This window comes from Homo sapiens, chromosome 1 (assembly GCF_000001405.40).
Source record: "Homo sapiens chromosome 1, GRCh38.p14 Primary Assembly".
Lineage (NCBI taxonomy): Eukaryota > Metazoa > Chordata > Mammalia > Primates > Hominidae > Homo > Homo sapiens.
In genome coordinates, this window is record NC_000001.11 from 168423347 (window position 1) to 168439776 (window position 16430).

The following is a 16430-nucleotide window of genomic DNA, read 5'->3' on the forward strand; positions in this document are numbered from 1 at the left end:
AGGAGAAGAGTCTTGTCTTTTTTTATTGTTTCTTTGTCTGGAGGATTGGGAGATGGAAATGAGGATTTGGTTTTGGACCTGATTAATCTGAGATGCTTTTGAGATATCTAACGGAGATGATAAGTAGGCAGCTGGGCTGATGGGCATGGGGCTGGAAGGCATCTGGGTTCGACACAGAAAACTATGGGTCATGTGGGAATTGGTGGTTATGGAAGCTGTGGGTATGGGTGAAAATTTCCAGGGATAGTGTAGAGGGAGAATCATTGAGTTCTAATGATTGACCCTGAGGAATCTTAACAAGTAAAGTACAGGGAGAAGGGGAGGAGCCAGCGAAAGGAAGCCTGAGGGAAGCTAATTTTTCTCAAGTGAAAAGTTTAGGCATTAAAAGTCAACTGGAGGGGCCGGGCACAGTGGCTTATGCCTATAATGCCAGCACTTTGGGAGGCAGAGGCGGGAGGATCGCTTGAGGCCAGGAGTTTGAGACCAGTCTGGGCAACATAGCAAGACCTCATCTCTATTAAAAAAAATTAACTGGAAGAAACCAGTTGTTAGAAGGAGGTTGAATGTACTAGAGAGAGAAAGATTCCACATGAGATGTACATAGAAAGGCAGGAAGGATGGGACCTACAGCCCTGTGTTCCAAAGAGGTTATGGTGACACTGTCACAAAATATTTTGCTGAATATCTGTCAGGACACAGGTATTCTGAGAGTGTCACAGGGTTTTTGATCTCTGAAGGGCTAGTGTGCTTTGGCTTTGGCTTTCACGTTGACTCCTCTGCCTGGGGAAGAGAAGTCTCTATGTACATGCAAGAGCTGTGCATTTTTACAGAGACTCAGGGCTGAGAAGGGTTTCTGTGTGGGAAAGTTTATCTCCAACATTGCCTTCAACCAGGCTGGTCATGCAGTGTCCATAGTGCTCTGTGCCCTGACTTGGCTTCAAAAGGAATGGCCTGGAGAGACCAATACTTGTTTATTCTTTTCTATTTTCCTCTACTGAATTATGCAGCCATACAGGATTCCTATTATAAATTCCATGAATCAGCTCTTCCTAATGAAAGATTTTTGCATTTTGGGGCAATTTTTGTGGAAATATTTTGCAAAATGTGAAGTGACAGCTGCCTCTTGTCAGACACCCTGATTCCAGCTGCACTAGCAATTTGGGTTCCAGAAAGTTCTCAGACAGGAAGGAGTCATGCTATAGACACAAAACAACCCATACATTTAATTCCACTGGAACTGCATTTAGATCCTACGGTCATGCTAGAGAAAGTTTGTAATTCTGGAATGGTTGCTGAGAAAGACTGTTTCCAGATTTTTACGCATCTATTTGTAATTTCTTGGTACCGATGATCAGTTTAATGAATGTCAACTGAGCACTTTGTCCAAGTCCCTGGGTGGGAGACAGATGAACAAGGCATGGTCCACATTACCAGAGTGCTGGGGATAGATGGATTCACAGACACAAAGTCATCATCTCTGCAATACAGAGGAAACAAAATGAAATGAAACAGTAACACAGAAGCAGAGAAGGTGAGGGAGGTGATGGAGTGTGTTTGTGTGTGTGTGTGTGTGTGTGTGTGTGTATTTAAGGGTGACACTGGCAGAGCTAGGACAAAGGCTGGAACTGGAAAATGCTCATAGAGCAGATGACAGTCAAGTTGGATCTTGAAACATGGGTGGGAGTTTGAGAGGCAAAGATGGAGGGTGAAGTGGGGAAGCCAAAGTCAAACACAAGGTCTGTTTGGTTATATTTGCTGAGCAGAGCTGTTACTTTGTACCTCTCTAGTCCACACACCTTTGATGAATTCCCACCACTTGCAAAATAAAGCCTAACCCTACAGCCAGTTTGGAGTAGGGAATGTCTGGCCATGCAGTTGATCTTCATTTTGCAGGTAGTGGAGAGTTATTGAAGGAGTTTGGCCTGGAGAGGTCCGAGGTAACAGCTCTGCTTAGCAAGGTCACCAAGGGGAGAAGCAGAGGAGTGAGTTGCGGGGCAGAGAGGCCTGTTGGGGGGCTGTGGCAAAATCCTAGGTGAGAATCCATGAACAAGAATGAGAATAGGAACAATGGGACTGAAAAAAAAAGATGGCAGCTATGAGGGAAGGACATAGAAAGGAAAGGGTGAAGTCAACAATGAATTGGAATCAACAGACGTATTTACTCAGCAGAGACAGTTAATGTTTCTCCCCTACCCCTAATATTTCCTCTCTTCCTCTTCTTTTGTTATGGAAATACTAGCTAGGTACGTGGTTACTCAGGATAAAGACTACATTTTTTTCCAGCCTCCTTGCAGCAAGGGGTCTCTAGGTATCAAGTTTTGGCTAACAGGATGCAATGGGACAGTTTCTGCATGCTCTCTCTTCCTTCTCCCCCTACCCCCATTTCAATTCTTGGATGTGGCTGGGATGGTTGAAGCCCCTTCCAGTCATTAACAAGGGCTCTGCAGGACTGGTCAACAAAAGAGAAGGAGTCTTTGTCCCTGACACCATGGACCAGCCTGGTAAGCACCCAGACTTTTATGGGAGGAAGTAATAACTACGGTCTTCGTTAAGCTACTGTTATTTTGGGTTTTCAGTCACTCACAGGTAAACCTAATTTGAGCTGATATAAATGGTGACTGATTTTGGCTTCTGCTGACAAACCCAGAGACTAAAGGTAGGAGCCTGGGCCCCAGGAGAGGGGATGTTGGAAGGAACATCCCATTCAGGAGAGCAGGGCAGGTTCTGAGCACAAGGTAGCAGGCTAATGCTAAGAAGAAAGATGATCAGGAAGAACCTCTGCCCATGTGCTGTCTTTCGGCCCTGGTAGAGTTTGTCACATGCTAGAGTCCTTAGTTAGCAATGTCTTAGGAAGTGAAGGGGGATGCCAGTGTCCAGGCTTGGCTTTACAGAGAACAGGATGAGCAGCTTGGGCAGCCAGGAGAAGCTGTTATGAGTTGGCCAGGGATAAAGGACAGAGAGGGGGTATCTGGAAGAGGCATAAGAGACATCTTGGACAACATAAGCACTTCTGGGCATCCTTAGATGTATTTGGGAGGGTACTGATAATTTTGTCTTGCATAATGGGGGAGCTCAGATGGTCATCTTCCAAATATCAAAGGGGACAATTTGCATTTGGCCTTAGGTTAGAGGTTGGCCTAGGTGACCTCTAAAGCTATTTTCAAGTCTAAGAATCTATGATTCCATAAAACAATCAAATCACTAGCTTGATTTCCTAGTAGACATCATTCTTGTTTCCCCTCAACTGACTCTAGGCCAGAATCTTTTCTGCCAAGAGTAATGTGTTCAGATGGTGTGCATGTACTGGCCGGTGGGGCTAGGATAGTAACATTGTGATTGGGTTTTCAGTCCACTAAGGTCCTGCTAGTGCTGACCCTGAAATGGGACCAGACTTGAGAATCACCTGGGAGGAGGGCCAGGATGCGGATGGAAATGGAAGTCCTGGAAAGGAACACTGGGGTGAGTGCCAGGCCATACGATACTTATTTTTAGAAGGTGTAATGATCAAAAACAAATTTTTGAGCAGGAAGCATTCCAGGACTGGATCTGGGGGCTGGGATCCCAGGAGAAGGGAAGCCAAAGGGACAGGTAAGGTCCAATCTGATGTGGCTGGTGGCAGAGAGGGTGGCTTCACTTGGGGAAGCCTCTGTCTGTTTATTTTTTAATGTGCAGAAATGCTGAATGAGAGAGATATGATTTAAACTAGGGAATTGGAACTAGCTGCAGAAACTCCATTTACATGTCAACCAGTACCAGGGGGCACTGTGGAATGTGCAATGATGTGCCTTTTGCTTAATCTGTGCATATATTGTATCCTGAGACTTTCTGACACTGTAGAATATGCTTTCTTATGGAGAACTGGGTAGGCAGCTGGGGAGGAAGTTCCTGATTCCGGAAGCAAAGCTTCTGAAAGAGAAATGCCTGCTGCCCTGGGTGGCAGCTCTGGAAAGTTAGCCAAGTGGTGGCAAAACCAGGAGGGAGATTTCATCATGAGGACCAGATCTGGGTATATTTTATCTCCAAATTAATTAATTTATTCTTTTGTCATCTTATACCATCTATATATTTATATCATTCATGTACATCTTATATTTATTTTATTTACCATCACATAGCACTAAATCCTATATACTGCTTGGCACAAAATTGAGTCTGTCTATCTACCTATCTATCTATCATCTATCTGTTTTTGGAGGGAGCTTAGTTGATCACTTTTTTTATTTTTTTGGGATGGAATCTCATTATGTCGCCAGGCTGGAGTGCAGTGGTGCGATCTTGGCTCACTGCAAGCTCTGTCTCCCGGGTTCACGCCATTCTCCTGCCTCAGCCATCCGAGTAGCTGGGATTACAGGCACGCGCCACCATGCCCAGCTAATTTTTGTATTTTTAGTAGAGACAGGGTTTCATCATGTTGGCCAGGATGGTCTCGATCTCCTGACCTTGTGATCTGCCTGCCTTGGCCTCCCAAAGTGCTGGGATTACAGGCGTGAGCCACCGCGCCCGGCCTAGTTGATCACCTTTTAAAGATCGTGAGAGGCATTTTATATTCTGCTCCAGGTTGGCTTAGATGATCTGTAAGGACATCTATCAATTGATCACTGCTCCCCCTCATCATCTATGTCTAAAGTGTTTTTAGAAATAATCCCTTCAGCAAATGCTTATTCTGTCGCCTCCTCAGTATATTAACCCTTTGGGACAACTTGCCCAGAAAAACATTTCCAGACATATCTTACTCAGTAAACAGAGGGTTATGTTCTACGGATAGAACACTGTGAGCCCAGGCAGCTCTGCAATTGCAAAGAAAAAAGCCCTAGTCCAGAATTATTTTTAGAATGCAAGAGAGGCCAAATACATTGCTGTACTATATCAGAAAAAGGAAAAGTGGAGAGGGAGGGACACTATGGAAAAGGCAATGAGCATAAGAATGAATTTCAGGGAACCAAATCAGCATACAAATGGTGAGAGGCAGCCCCACTGGAATCCTTCATCCTGACAGGTCCCAAGGCACAAGCTGGGCACCTTCTTGAGGAATGAATCATTTCAGCCTGCAGTGGGGGGAGCTGGACAGCCAAGATCTGCCAGAGACAGATGCTTCTCTGCAAGTGAAGAGTGAGGGCACTGCAGCCAAGTGTCCCCGGAGCACAGTGTGGCTTTGCAGAGGGGAGAAAAGGGCAGGAAGCAGCACTGAAGGACCCTTTCCCTGGGAACAGGCACTTCCACCCATCTGCTCCCCGAGGTCTCTGAACATCCCTCAGGGGCTCAGTGGACTGGTGTGAACTCAACTCTCTGTATTTTCTTGTGGTAGCCTTGAGGTCTCATGCCTTTTGAACTCGTGGGAGGCAGTATGAAGTTGGAAAAGCATTTTTTTTTTTTTAAATGAGATCAACTCAGTTTGAATGCTGGCTCAGCCTCTTAGATGTAAGATCTTGGACTAGCTACTTAACCCGTGTAGGCCTCAATTTCCTTGTCTGGAATGTTGGGATATCTCCTAAGACAGTTACAGAGACTAATTAGTAATAAACAACAATACTTTTAGTGTTTTTGATCTATAGAGGATTCTCAGTAAATGTTAATCCTCTTCCCCTGGGACCATGTTTTAGACCTGGCACCTGTGGAATTTGTATGATTTTGTAATTAATGGCTACCCCACCTAAGATGGCACCAGCAATATGCCTAATGTCACTGGACCCAGGTGAAAACTGACCAGCTGAGAATGCTTCACAGCCTTCACCAGAGAGGGGACAGAGCCACCCGCTTAGGAATCCCTGACCAGACAACACCAGCTGTTTAGAAAATGCCCACCCTGTACCCTGCTCTGTGCTAGGGACAGTGAAATAAGTATACATAGCTATTTAGAAGAAGACTTCTGCCCTGAAGGCTTTATAATCTGGATGGGAGAGGAACTCTGACACTTGATAGATTAGAAGCTCTGAAACTTAGAAACAGACGTACAACCCCAGACATGGTCTACATTGCAGAGTACCTGAGGGACTATGACGTTCTGGCCAAGAAATTCTCTTTTAATGCAGCAAAAGATGGCAGTGTCCCTAGGGCTGAAGCATCTCATGCTGAATTAAACAGATTGAGAAGGACTGATAAAAACAAATAAGAGCTAGTATTTCTTTAAGGGGTTTTTTGTTTTTTTTTTGTGTGTGTGTGTGCCAGGCCTTGTACTAGTCACTGTACTCGTTCATCTTTATTGCAGCCTGACAAGGATAAGTAATATTAACCACAGTTTAGAGGTGCAGGGCTGGATGCTCTGGGAGGCAACCCAGCGTCACAAGGGAAGGGCCAAGATTCAAACCTAGATCTTTCTGACCCTAAAACTCGATGTTCCTTTGACTATGATGTGCTGCCTCTCACAGAATTAGGCAGCACATCCCTAAGAACTGCTGAGTAGGTAGCATTTCCCCTAAGAACTCTCAGACATTCGTTTGGAGTGAGGACACCCAACCCTGGTAGAAATATAGCAAGTGGCTCATTACAGCATCACAGGTAGAGGGAGGGAGTTAGGAAGGTTGAGTTGAAAGCACCCCTACCAGTCTGCTCCTCTCTGCAGAGTGCAAACGCTCCCCACCACAGCCAGCTCTGGGTCACTTCCTTGGCTCTGAGGGGCAGAGGCTGCCTGGCAGGTGCTCTTACCTCTCCTGGGTCCCCAGAATGAGGTGCTTTCCTCAGGGAAGGACTATTGCAGCCAGGTGAGACAGATGGAAAAGGGGAGCACTTTAGTCCCGGGTCCTTGTTCTAAGTCTTCCCTTTCCTGACTGGTCACTGAACCATCCAGGCCTGAAAACTGGGTTAGTTTTACCATCTCCTTCCCAGGGTTTTGAGGGAGTAAGGTAAAGTCCTAGAGTGAGAGAGCTCTGTAAAGTGCTGCATCCATGCCGGGTAACATTTGACCATTTGACACATAGCACTGTGGTGGGTGAGGGGTAGCTTTTTTTTTTTTTTTTCTTAAAGTGTAGGTTCTTAAATTCTCACTGAAAATAGACTCGAAACTACATTCTTGGCAGAGTACGAGAGAAAGGCCTGACTGAAGCCATCAAACTTCTTTCAGGGAGCTGTTGGCTGCAAGGAGAGCCTCAGCTGAGGACAGTGTCTGAGAGAATAACCTCCTCAGGCCCCGCGGAGGGACGGATGCGTGCGGGTCACAGCCAGCCATTGCTCAGAGCAGCGTGGGCGGCCGGGAGGGCCCACACAGCACTTGACTGCTGCGCTGCAGCCATCATTCCCAGCAGGGCATCTTCTCACTCCACTTGTCTGGCATCGGCAGGGCTGCACAGAAGCCCAAAGATTGAGCCAACTGGGGTGGCAGAGAGGAGCAGTAAGAACGGAATGAAAAAAAAAAGAAAGAAAAAAAACAACCTCCAGCTAAATGCTATCCTACCATGAAATATCAGACTTTTCCCTCAAACCCTCGGTTCCCCTTTCACCAATCCCAAGCAAAATAATGGACAAGTCTGATTCTGTAGCTACAGCAGACACATGGTCTGGAAATGGGGGCTGTTACCTCCATTTCAGCCCTGGGTACCTGGAGGGTGGGGAGGGAGGCCGTGGACTGGATCACTGGGCTGCTCCTGTCCTTTACTCGGGGTGGAGTTTCTATCCGGGGTCTGGGTTGGCCCTGCCTTGGTTAGTCCTGGAGAACTGCAGCCTCCTCAGTCTTGCTGCAGATGTCAGGAGCATATTTTATAAAGATTGGATTCTCTTGCTTTGATCTCCTTGGGAGGGAGGATTGGTGGCCCCAAATCTGAGGATACTTCTCCTTTCAGAACTTGAAATCTGAAGGGATCAGAGGAGTTCCAGGGTATTCCATAAGGATTTGGATGGGCTTTGGGCTTCCGTTCCAGCAATTAACCAACCTAAGGAAACTGCTTAGGGTCTGGGCCTTTGCAGGAAAATCAGATTCCAGAATACGGAGGGTGAACAATCAGGACTCAGGCCACTACTCCCAATCATGAGCCTGTGGTAGTCAATGCCAGTCAACTATGATACTCTCTGAAACTGAGCCCAGTCTCCTTGGCATTAATCCCAGCACTTTGGGAGGCCGAGGTGGGTGGATCACAAGGTCACGAGTTTGAGACCAGCCTGGTCAACATGGTATAACCCCGTCTCTACCAAAAACAAACAACAACAACAACAAAAAAACTGGTCATGGTGGCTTGTGCCTGTAATTGCAGCTACTTGGGAGGCTAAGGCAGGAGAATCATTTGAACTCAGGAGGGAGGCGGAGGTTGCAGTGAGCTAAGATGGCACCATTGCACTCCAGCCTGGGCAACAGGGCGAGGCTCCGTCTCAAAAAAAAAAAAAAAAAAAAAAAGAAAAAAGAAGTCTTTTCAACAGAGAACTCTCTGAAAGTGTTACCATTTGTCAGGAGCTGTCACTTGAAATTCATTTTTTCATTCAATCGTGTGACAAATATTTACTGAGCTTTTACTTGATGTCAAATACGGCAGTAAGCATTGGAATAAAATTCTGGGTAAAATCAGAGAGTATTCCTGCTCTGCAGAGCATAAAGTTCAGTGGGAGAGCTCAAATATATCAACAAATGTAAAATTGCAATTGTGACAAGTATGTGTTAAGGGAGAAACATACAGTGCTCATAACCAAAAGATTTCACCTGGCTGGGGAAATCAGGGATGAAGGGATAGCTGAGCTGAGATCTGAAGGATGAGTAGGAGTTAACCAGGTTAGGTGGAGGTGTGGGTGGAGGAGCTGTGGGTGGAGGAGCACTTCAGGCACAGGGAGGAGCCTGTACACAGCCTGTGGTGGGAGGGAGGCTGCAGAGTGTGAGGGCTGAGCACAGATGAGGCTGGAGAGGCAGATGGAGCCTGTGGTCTGGGCTCTCTGAGCCAAGTTAAAGGGGTTTTGCTTTTATCCTGAGAGCAATGGGAGGTCACCAGGAAGGTTTATGTAGTGACAATGTGTGTTTTGAAAAGACCACTCTGGATAGAGTGAGTGTGCAGAATGAATTGGAGGAACTCATCAGGAATGTGGGTAGATCAAGGTTCTAGGTGACGATGTTACCTGCATTTTGTATGGTGGGTTGTGTTCAAAAGAATCTGGAAGTCACTGCTCCAGAGACTTCTAAGGAAATGGATCTGTTCTGGGGTTCTAAGCCAATAGGAAGGAACTCAGCACTGAATGGGGAGGGACTAATACCTATCAGATGATGACTGAATCATTAACTGCAGTCCTGGGGCCTTGGCCATGGGTGGCTGAAGGTTTTCCAGGGTGGTTTCACATTTCTGGGCTCAGAGACAAGTAAGCACCTCAAGCATCTAAGTCAATGCTGGAGCCAGGATTTAAATCCACATCTCCCAAATCCCAGGCTTGCTACCTGCAAAAAAGGGAAGAAGACACAAGTAGACAAATTTGCTTTTTTTTTTCTGGAGACAGACTCTTGCTCTGTCACCCAAACTGGAGTGCAGTGGTGTGATCTTGGCTCACTGCATCCTCTGCCTCCTGGGTTCAAGAGATTCTCCTGCCTCAGCCTCCCAAGTAGCTGGGATTACAGGCACGTGCCACCACACCTGGCTATTTTTTTTTTTTTTTTGTATTTTTAGTGGAGATGGGGTTTCACCATGTTAGCCAGGCTGGTCTCGAACTCCTGGCTTCAAGCTATCTGCCTGCCTTGGCCTCCCAAAGTGTTGGAATTGCAGGCGTGAGCCACTGTGCCCAGCCCAAATTTGCTTTTGAGGGCTCATGACTGCCACACGGGGCCCATCCCTGCAGAACATGTTCACTGCCTAAGCTGTCATGGGTTGGCAATGACTGCATCAGGTCCAAGGCTTCTTTTTGTCTCCATGAAGTTCTTTTCCAAAGTCTTATTGGACCAGTGACAGTCTGCCCCATTTCAAGAGATTTCTAGGAATGAAGGCTCCTGAATCCTGTCTTTTCTACATTTCCTGTGTTGGGCAAAGACTTTATTAAGATGCTCCCATCCTGCATCCTTGTACCTGTGGATCAAGCTCAGGATCAGGGGCTTCTGAGAGTATCAGAGCTCAGACATTTGGGATAACGACTGTGTTCCAGGCACCCTGTATTTAGAAATCTGACAAAGAGTGATGATATGAGCTGTGGAGAGCTGGTTCCTTGGGTTGCCACAGAAACCAAATCGAGCTGAATTTAGCATTAAATTACAGGGTACTCACAGAGATGGAGTCAAACATTTGTCTACTACTGCTTTTTTCTTTTCTTTTCAAATTGAACCTTCCTGGCAAGTGGCAAAACACCTGTTAAGTTAAATGGGGGCAGCAGGTTGTGCTGTGCTAAAGGTGTGGGTGTTCTGGAAGCTTGATAAGTGGCAGGGACTTAGCTTTTCACCCAAAGCAGGATTGTTGCCCAAGCATCTCCCTCCAGGTCTAGGCTCCTTCTGAGGAAGGAGTACCTCGAGAGGATAGCACAGATAATTGAACAGAGTCTGGAGCTATGGGTTCCAATACAGTTGTCACTAGCCACTTGTGGCCACTGAACACTTGCATTGTGACTAGTTCACACTGGGATGTGCTGTGAACATGAAACACAGGCCAGATGTCAAAGACCTTGCATGACAAGAACAATGTAAAGTGTCCATTAATTTACAAATATTGATTGCATGTTGAAATGATAACAGTTTGGATATATTGGGATAAATATGATTTGGTATTGAAATGAATTCCTCCTGTTTTTTTAATTATTTGTAATATTGTTACTAGAAAATTTAGCATTATATTTGTGACTCACATTGTATTCCTATTGGACAGTCCTGGTTCAGACACTGTTGTTCTGAGGCTGGATTGATTTTCCATGAACTGAAGAAGTTGTTTAACCTTGTGATACTTCAGATTCTTGATCTGCAAGATGGCAGTATTAATGCCATCCCTAGCTTCTTCATAGACTTGTGTTGGAGATTCGATGCTGATGTGGGCTCTGTAATGCACTTTCCTAATTTCCCTTTTAAGGACGAGGTACTCACTCCCCCAGCTGTCAAAGTGTTGGCTGCTGAGGACTCAGCCAAGTCCCTCTTCAGGCATTTACTGTGGCTGAAGAGAGCCACCCATGATGAGCTGGGCTCTTTTAGGTGAGTCTCTAAGATGCAAGTGGTTCATTCAGTATGAAGTACAAGCAGAGCCAGAGATCACCAGGAGCTATATGAGCAGGTGGCTCAGACCCCCACATCACCACTATTGTTTCCTCTCCCTCAGCAAGTACCCATGCCTATGGCTGCAGTGGAGGCTCCCTGATGAACAGCTGAGAGAGGAGAAAAAAGGTCAAGATGGATCACAGATGGGTTGGCTTTGTATGTGGGTTCCAGTTTCAAAATGGACTGCTATGAACTAAAGTTCCACTTGAGGGTGTCCCTGAAAGAGAGAGATGAGAGGAAATTCTCTCAATATGCAGAGCTTTGGAAGGTAGACCTAGTCATTCTTCTGTATGGAAAGAGAAGTGGATTAAAGTACAAATATATATTGGCTCATGAGGAACAGTGAATGGCTTGGCTGGTTGGTCAGGGGCCTGGAAAGAAAAAGATCAAATGGCCGGTGTCAGGGGCTGGGGAAGAGCATGGGGATGGGCAATGGGAGTGAGAACAAAGCACTGGAGTCTATGTATTGCATGTTAATGCCACCTGACAGCAGCTATTGTGGAAGAGGCACCAGATAACCACATAGACCGAATGACTTTGCCAGTTGACATCAGCCAGTCTTAGTCTTCAGCCATTCCAGTGTCTGAGCAATGGGTATGAAGGTAGAACAGCCATGGTATTAAGGATTCAGGTGACAATGTGGTATACCCTGTAAATCAACCACCACTGTAGGGGGCTGTGCTGCAAAGGGTGGAATTAATGGGTCCTGGAATTGAGGGGTGAATGTGGGAGTGGCCCTGCTTACCATCCCTCCCAGTGACTCACGGTGGATCCTGTTGCTCTCCATCCCCCCAGCAGACTCTGTGGGTCTAGAGGTGCTGGTTTCCAGAGGGAGAAGGCTTCCATCCAGGTATATGATAAGGGCCCATTATACTTTAAGCTGTCATTGCCATCTGTCTCTTCTAGCTCCTTGTACCAAGATATTCAGCAGGCAGGGAAAGGAATCTCCAAACCAGCAGGAGCCATTGGCCCTGATATCAGCAGGATATCAGTGCTGCTGTTATTTAAAGAGGGCGGGAGATAACCTGTTTGGCATTCAGGGGCTACATTGGGGTGTCTCTTGATACTCCCCTGCCCAATTTGAGGTAAATGTACAAATGTAGCAGCTACGGCCAGAGAACAGTGTGGTGACCAGGGGCTCAGTGTCCTCAGTGATGAGGGCTCGAGTCACCCCACCAGACATGTAGGCCAGCAGAAGCGTGGGCCAAGGGTGAGAGGACTCTGGAAAGGATAGTAGAGGAGGGGCAGCGTAAGACTCAGTGGCAGCCTCAAGATCAGAGCAGTAATGGCGATTGGTCCTATTAGTATCCCACTGAGAATTTCCCCAGGTGAAGAGAGCAGCCAGAATAACAGTGAAGTTGCTCCCAGAAAGGGCACACTTGGGCTGTGAAGCAAGTGAACTGGTGGTGCAAAGGGTGTGCTGTCCAGATTTCCCACACAGAACCGAGCTACTTGTCCCCTGACTGCTGGGAGTATTGATGGATGGCCAACGGCTCTCTTCTGAGTCCGTCTATAAAGATTACCCACAGTGGTTGGTGTGGAATACAAAGGCCTGGTTCCTTTGTCTTGATTCAGGACAACCTTGTGGCACATCCCAGCTCCCGGGCTTCCTGTAGGATTCATCTTCTCCTTCTGCCCAATCTTACTCCTCTCACTCCCTTAAAGATGTTATTTCTGAGAGTACTCCCCAGTAAACATCCTGCATACAAATCTCTGTCTCAGAATACGTTTCCTCGACCACCTAACCCAAGAATGATGTCCCAGTCACTGTATGGTGCAAAGCATGCTGAACTCGGCCTTGGAAGCTCTAGGTTCTGGTCAGGGCTCTGCCCTTTCATGGGTTGTCTGGCTGGCCCAGGTTCCCCATGTATGAGTTGGGGACAGCAAGGAAGGAGTTTGGACCAGGTGATCGAAGATCCCTTCCAGCTGTGACTTTTCATATGTGTGAAATGGACAGGGAAGGATGAGTTACATGAAAAGCTGGAATGATCTTTGCGAACCCTTCAGATGTCCTCTACATGTACAGAAACTAAGCATCGCAAGGGTGATGTGATTTTTTTCATGGCTTCCCTGCTAGAAAGCAGCAGAGCTGAGATTTGGACCCAGACTTCAGTCTGCCACGTTGTCTGGGTATATCCCCTTCACCATCTCTGAATCTGTAACATCACTGATTAGGGGCAAGGTGCAACAGTGGGTAGGACAGAATTTGAAGGTTGTTTAGAAGGTTCTGGTCAACCAGCTGCCCCTGCTGCATGTCTCTGGATTCTGTTACCCAGCAGGCAAGGCAAGCAGTCACTACACTGGCAGGGGTCATTCACCCTGAAAACAAGGAGGAAATTCTGCTATTTACTTACCTCAGATTGCTAGGATGTTATAGCCTTTGTCCTAGGACAGTGTTTCTCAAACTTCAACATGCAAATGAATAGCTGGGATCTTGTGAAAATATAGATTCTGATTCAGGAGGTTTGGGGTAGGGCCAGAGAGCTTGTATTTCTAACATGCTTCTAGGTATGGGTGCGGCTGGTCCTTTGACCACATTTTGAGTAGCCAGGGGCTAGAGTGCAGCTCGCAAACTCTGGGTGCCTCAGAAACCCCTGGGAACCTCTTAAAACTACTCATCATCATAGATTCAAATTCAATAGTATAGGATGAGCATCTCTAATTTTAACACACTCTCTAAGTAATTAAGGTAACTGCCAACACTTGACAACTATGGTTCTATAGCAGTGACCTTCACAGTTGCAGCCAACACTTGTGTTCCTGAATAAGCTGAACAGGTATCACACTACTGCTGCATGAGGAAGGAGACACAACTCTAGCCTGAATCACTGGGGACACAGGTGCTGAAATACACTGAGTGTTCAACATGGGCTAGGCACAGATGACCACAGAAAAAACCCCTGGGACTTGCCAAAATTACCCTAAGAGGGTTATAGTTTTATGAAAACAATCAAAATACAGAAATAAAATTTGTGATTACTTATAAAACTTATTTCCAAGGTAGTTGTAACCTGCATAACAAGGAGCTTTATGTCTATCTCAAGGTTGATGGGCAGTCGATGGGTTACTTGTGAGTTACACGTGAGGCCATTTCATGGTTTTTGCAACTCTGGCAAAATTGAGATTGAGATTGTAGACTTGGGATGCAGGAGCTGAGGGTCCTGCTTAAAAACACATTGCTTCATTCCCTGAGCTTCATTCTAGGGCTTGTCCAAGATGCCAATCTAGTTGGCATCAGCATTTTATACATGGCTTTCTTAGCCCATTTAGGGTGTGAATGGGTTCTTCGGTGACATTGGGTGGAGAAAAATAGACCTACCTTCCCTAACTGTCTCCAGGTGGCTCACCTGCTAACCTGCTTCTCAGAAAGACCCCCTTTTTCACCTCCCTGCTCACTACCAGCTGCCTGGCGAATGGACGTCCTCAATGCTTGGTAAGGGAGAAGGTTCTGCTGCCTCAGCACAGGGTGGGTTGGGCATGAGAGTGAGTAATGGAATGTCCCCAAGAAATCCACCCTCCCTGCCAAATGTGCGTGCCAACTTACACCTACGGAGAGTCTGGTTGCCTTTGCTTGTTCATCAGAAGAAAATAAGATGAACCCTGAAGGGAGATGCTGTTGGCAGGACAACCACCATGGCAGGCGTGGACTTCCCACAGGGCCTCTCAGTGCTAGGGGCTGGGGAGAGCAGTGCTGTCCTCAGGCAACCGACCTAGGACCTGCTACAGAAAGCCTCCTCTACTTGCTGGATTTACAACCCCAAGCAATTACTGCAAGTTGGGATAGCACAGGAGTGCAAGAGGCCTTCAGCACAGGCAGCCTGCAAGGAGAATGGAAGGCAAAGGGGTGGATTAATGGAGCCGAAGTCAGCCAGGACAGCAGGACTGGCCCCGTTCTCTAATGAGAGAGGTGGCCCAGATGCCTGTGGACAAAGCTCCGTGGATGGGACCTGGAAGCAGAATGGAAGGCCTGGGTTTTGCTTTATGGCCACCTTTTTTTTGAAGTGAAATGATGAGATCTCTGGACTCTTCTCTTTCTCTCCCCCCGCATCTTTTCAAGGCATCTTTCCTCCTGGTACTCACTGGCACATCCCCCACAGTATTACTCCTTATACTTCAGCTGAGCCCCTGCTACTTTCCTTGAAGATTTTTGTCCTTTATGTTCTATTCTCTTGTCATCAGGTTTGTTTTATGAAATAAATTACCTAATGAATTAAATAACCATCGACCATGGACTTAATTTTTGCTATATACCACTCTGGGGATTAAATGACCTCATTTAATCCTCAAATAAGGATTTTCCTATGAGTAAACACTTTTATTCTGGCCATTTTACAGATGAGGAGGATGAGGCAGACTGGTTATGTGACGGTCTGTGGCTGTGGAGCCTCCTCTGGTGGAAATCGTGGCACTGGTTTTCCTGTCCTTAGGCTGTAAAGTTGCAGCTCCACTCTCAAGTTTCTTTTTTTGGGGGTGGGATGAGAGCAAAGATAAGTAGAGTTCACAATTGAGTATTTTCTTTTGTTTCAGGAGATAATCATTCAGAAAAATCTCAGGAAACTTTGTCAATTGCAAAAACTGTTGTATTTGTTATCTCATCTGTTTGCTGGTAGTGATTAGAAATAAAACTTTTGAAATATTAAGGGCTGATGTAATTTTTTTGGGGGGGTGTTGAACAGGAAAGAAGATACTAAGCGAGAAACCAGAGAGCTTGTGTCCTTTTCAGTCATTCTTGGGGAAACAGGACCCCTAAGAGAGCAGTAGATGATGACAGCTTTAAAAAGACCAGGAGAGTGGATTTGATTTCTGAGGCCCTTGAGAAGAAATAGGGCATGGGGAGCTAAGTCCCCAGATGCTTAACTAGCAGGAAGTCCTCCAAAAGGCTGCAAGAATTAATCAGGTATTGGCCTCCTTTCAAGAGACTTGGGTTCTAATAGGGGAGCTAACATTTGAACATATACAGCTATACTACAAAGGATAATGTGGAAGAGAGAGGGGACTGTAGCTGGGATCATAGTGGGTGAGATCAGCAAAGCAGTAGTGAAGAAAACTCTGTTGCAAAATTTCTACTGCGGGCAAAGAGAAAGAAATCTGAAATGCATAAATTCGATCCAGCCTTTACTTGGCGTGGGAGAAGTCTGTGTTGGGTCTAGAACGGGGCCGCTGTGTGACCTTGAGCATGTCTCTTTACATTCAGATCCTCAGCTGAACGACAAGCCTCTAAGGCTTCCATCTGTTCTAAGCTGGAGGGGAGAAATGAAACTGTAAGAAAGGAGAAGGATGCGTGCTGCAGGGCTTGTCCAGGGTT

The 16430-nt window shown here is 46.3% G+C and overlaps 1 long non-coding RNA gene across 7 annotated transcripts in view, besides 1 other annotated feature; it reads right to left on the minus strand.

Moving 5' to 3' along the window:
- Positions 1 to 16430, minus strand: part of LOC125312414 (uncharacterized) — a 95450-nt gene that overhangs the window by 23156 nt on the left and 55864 nt on the right. The gene's annotated exons all lie outside the window — the stretch shown is intronic.
- Positions 4657 to 5198: an enhancer, noted in NCBI's record as "OCT4 hESC enhancer chr1:168397241-168397782 (GRCh37/hg19 assembly coordinates)". NCBI's record gives its function as "activates a minimal SCP1, AML or CMV promoter by ChIP-STARR-seq in primed H9 embryonic stem cells {active_cell/tissue: H9 hESC(primed)}" and the evidence as "EXISTENCE:reporter gene assay evidence [ECO:0000049][PMID:30033119]".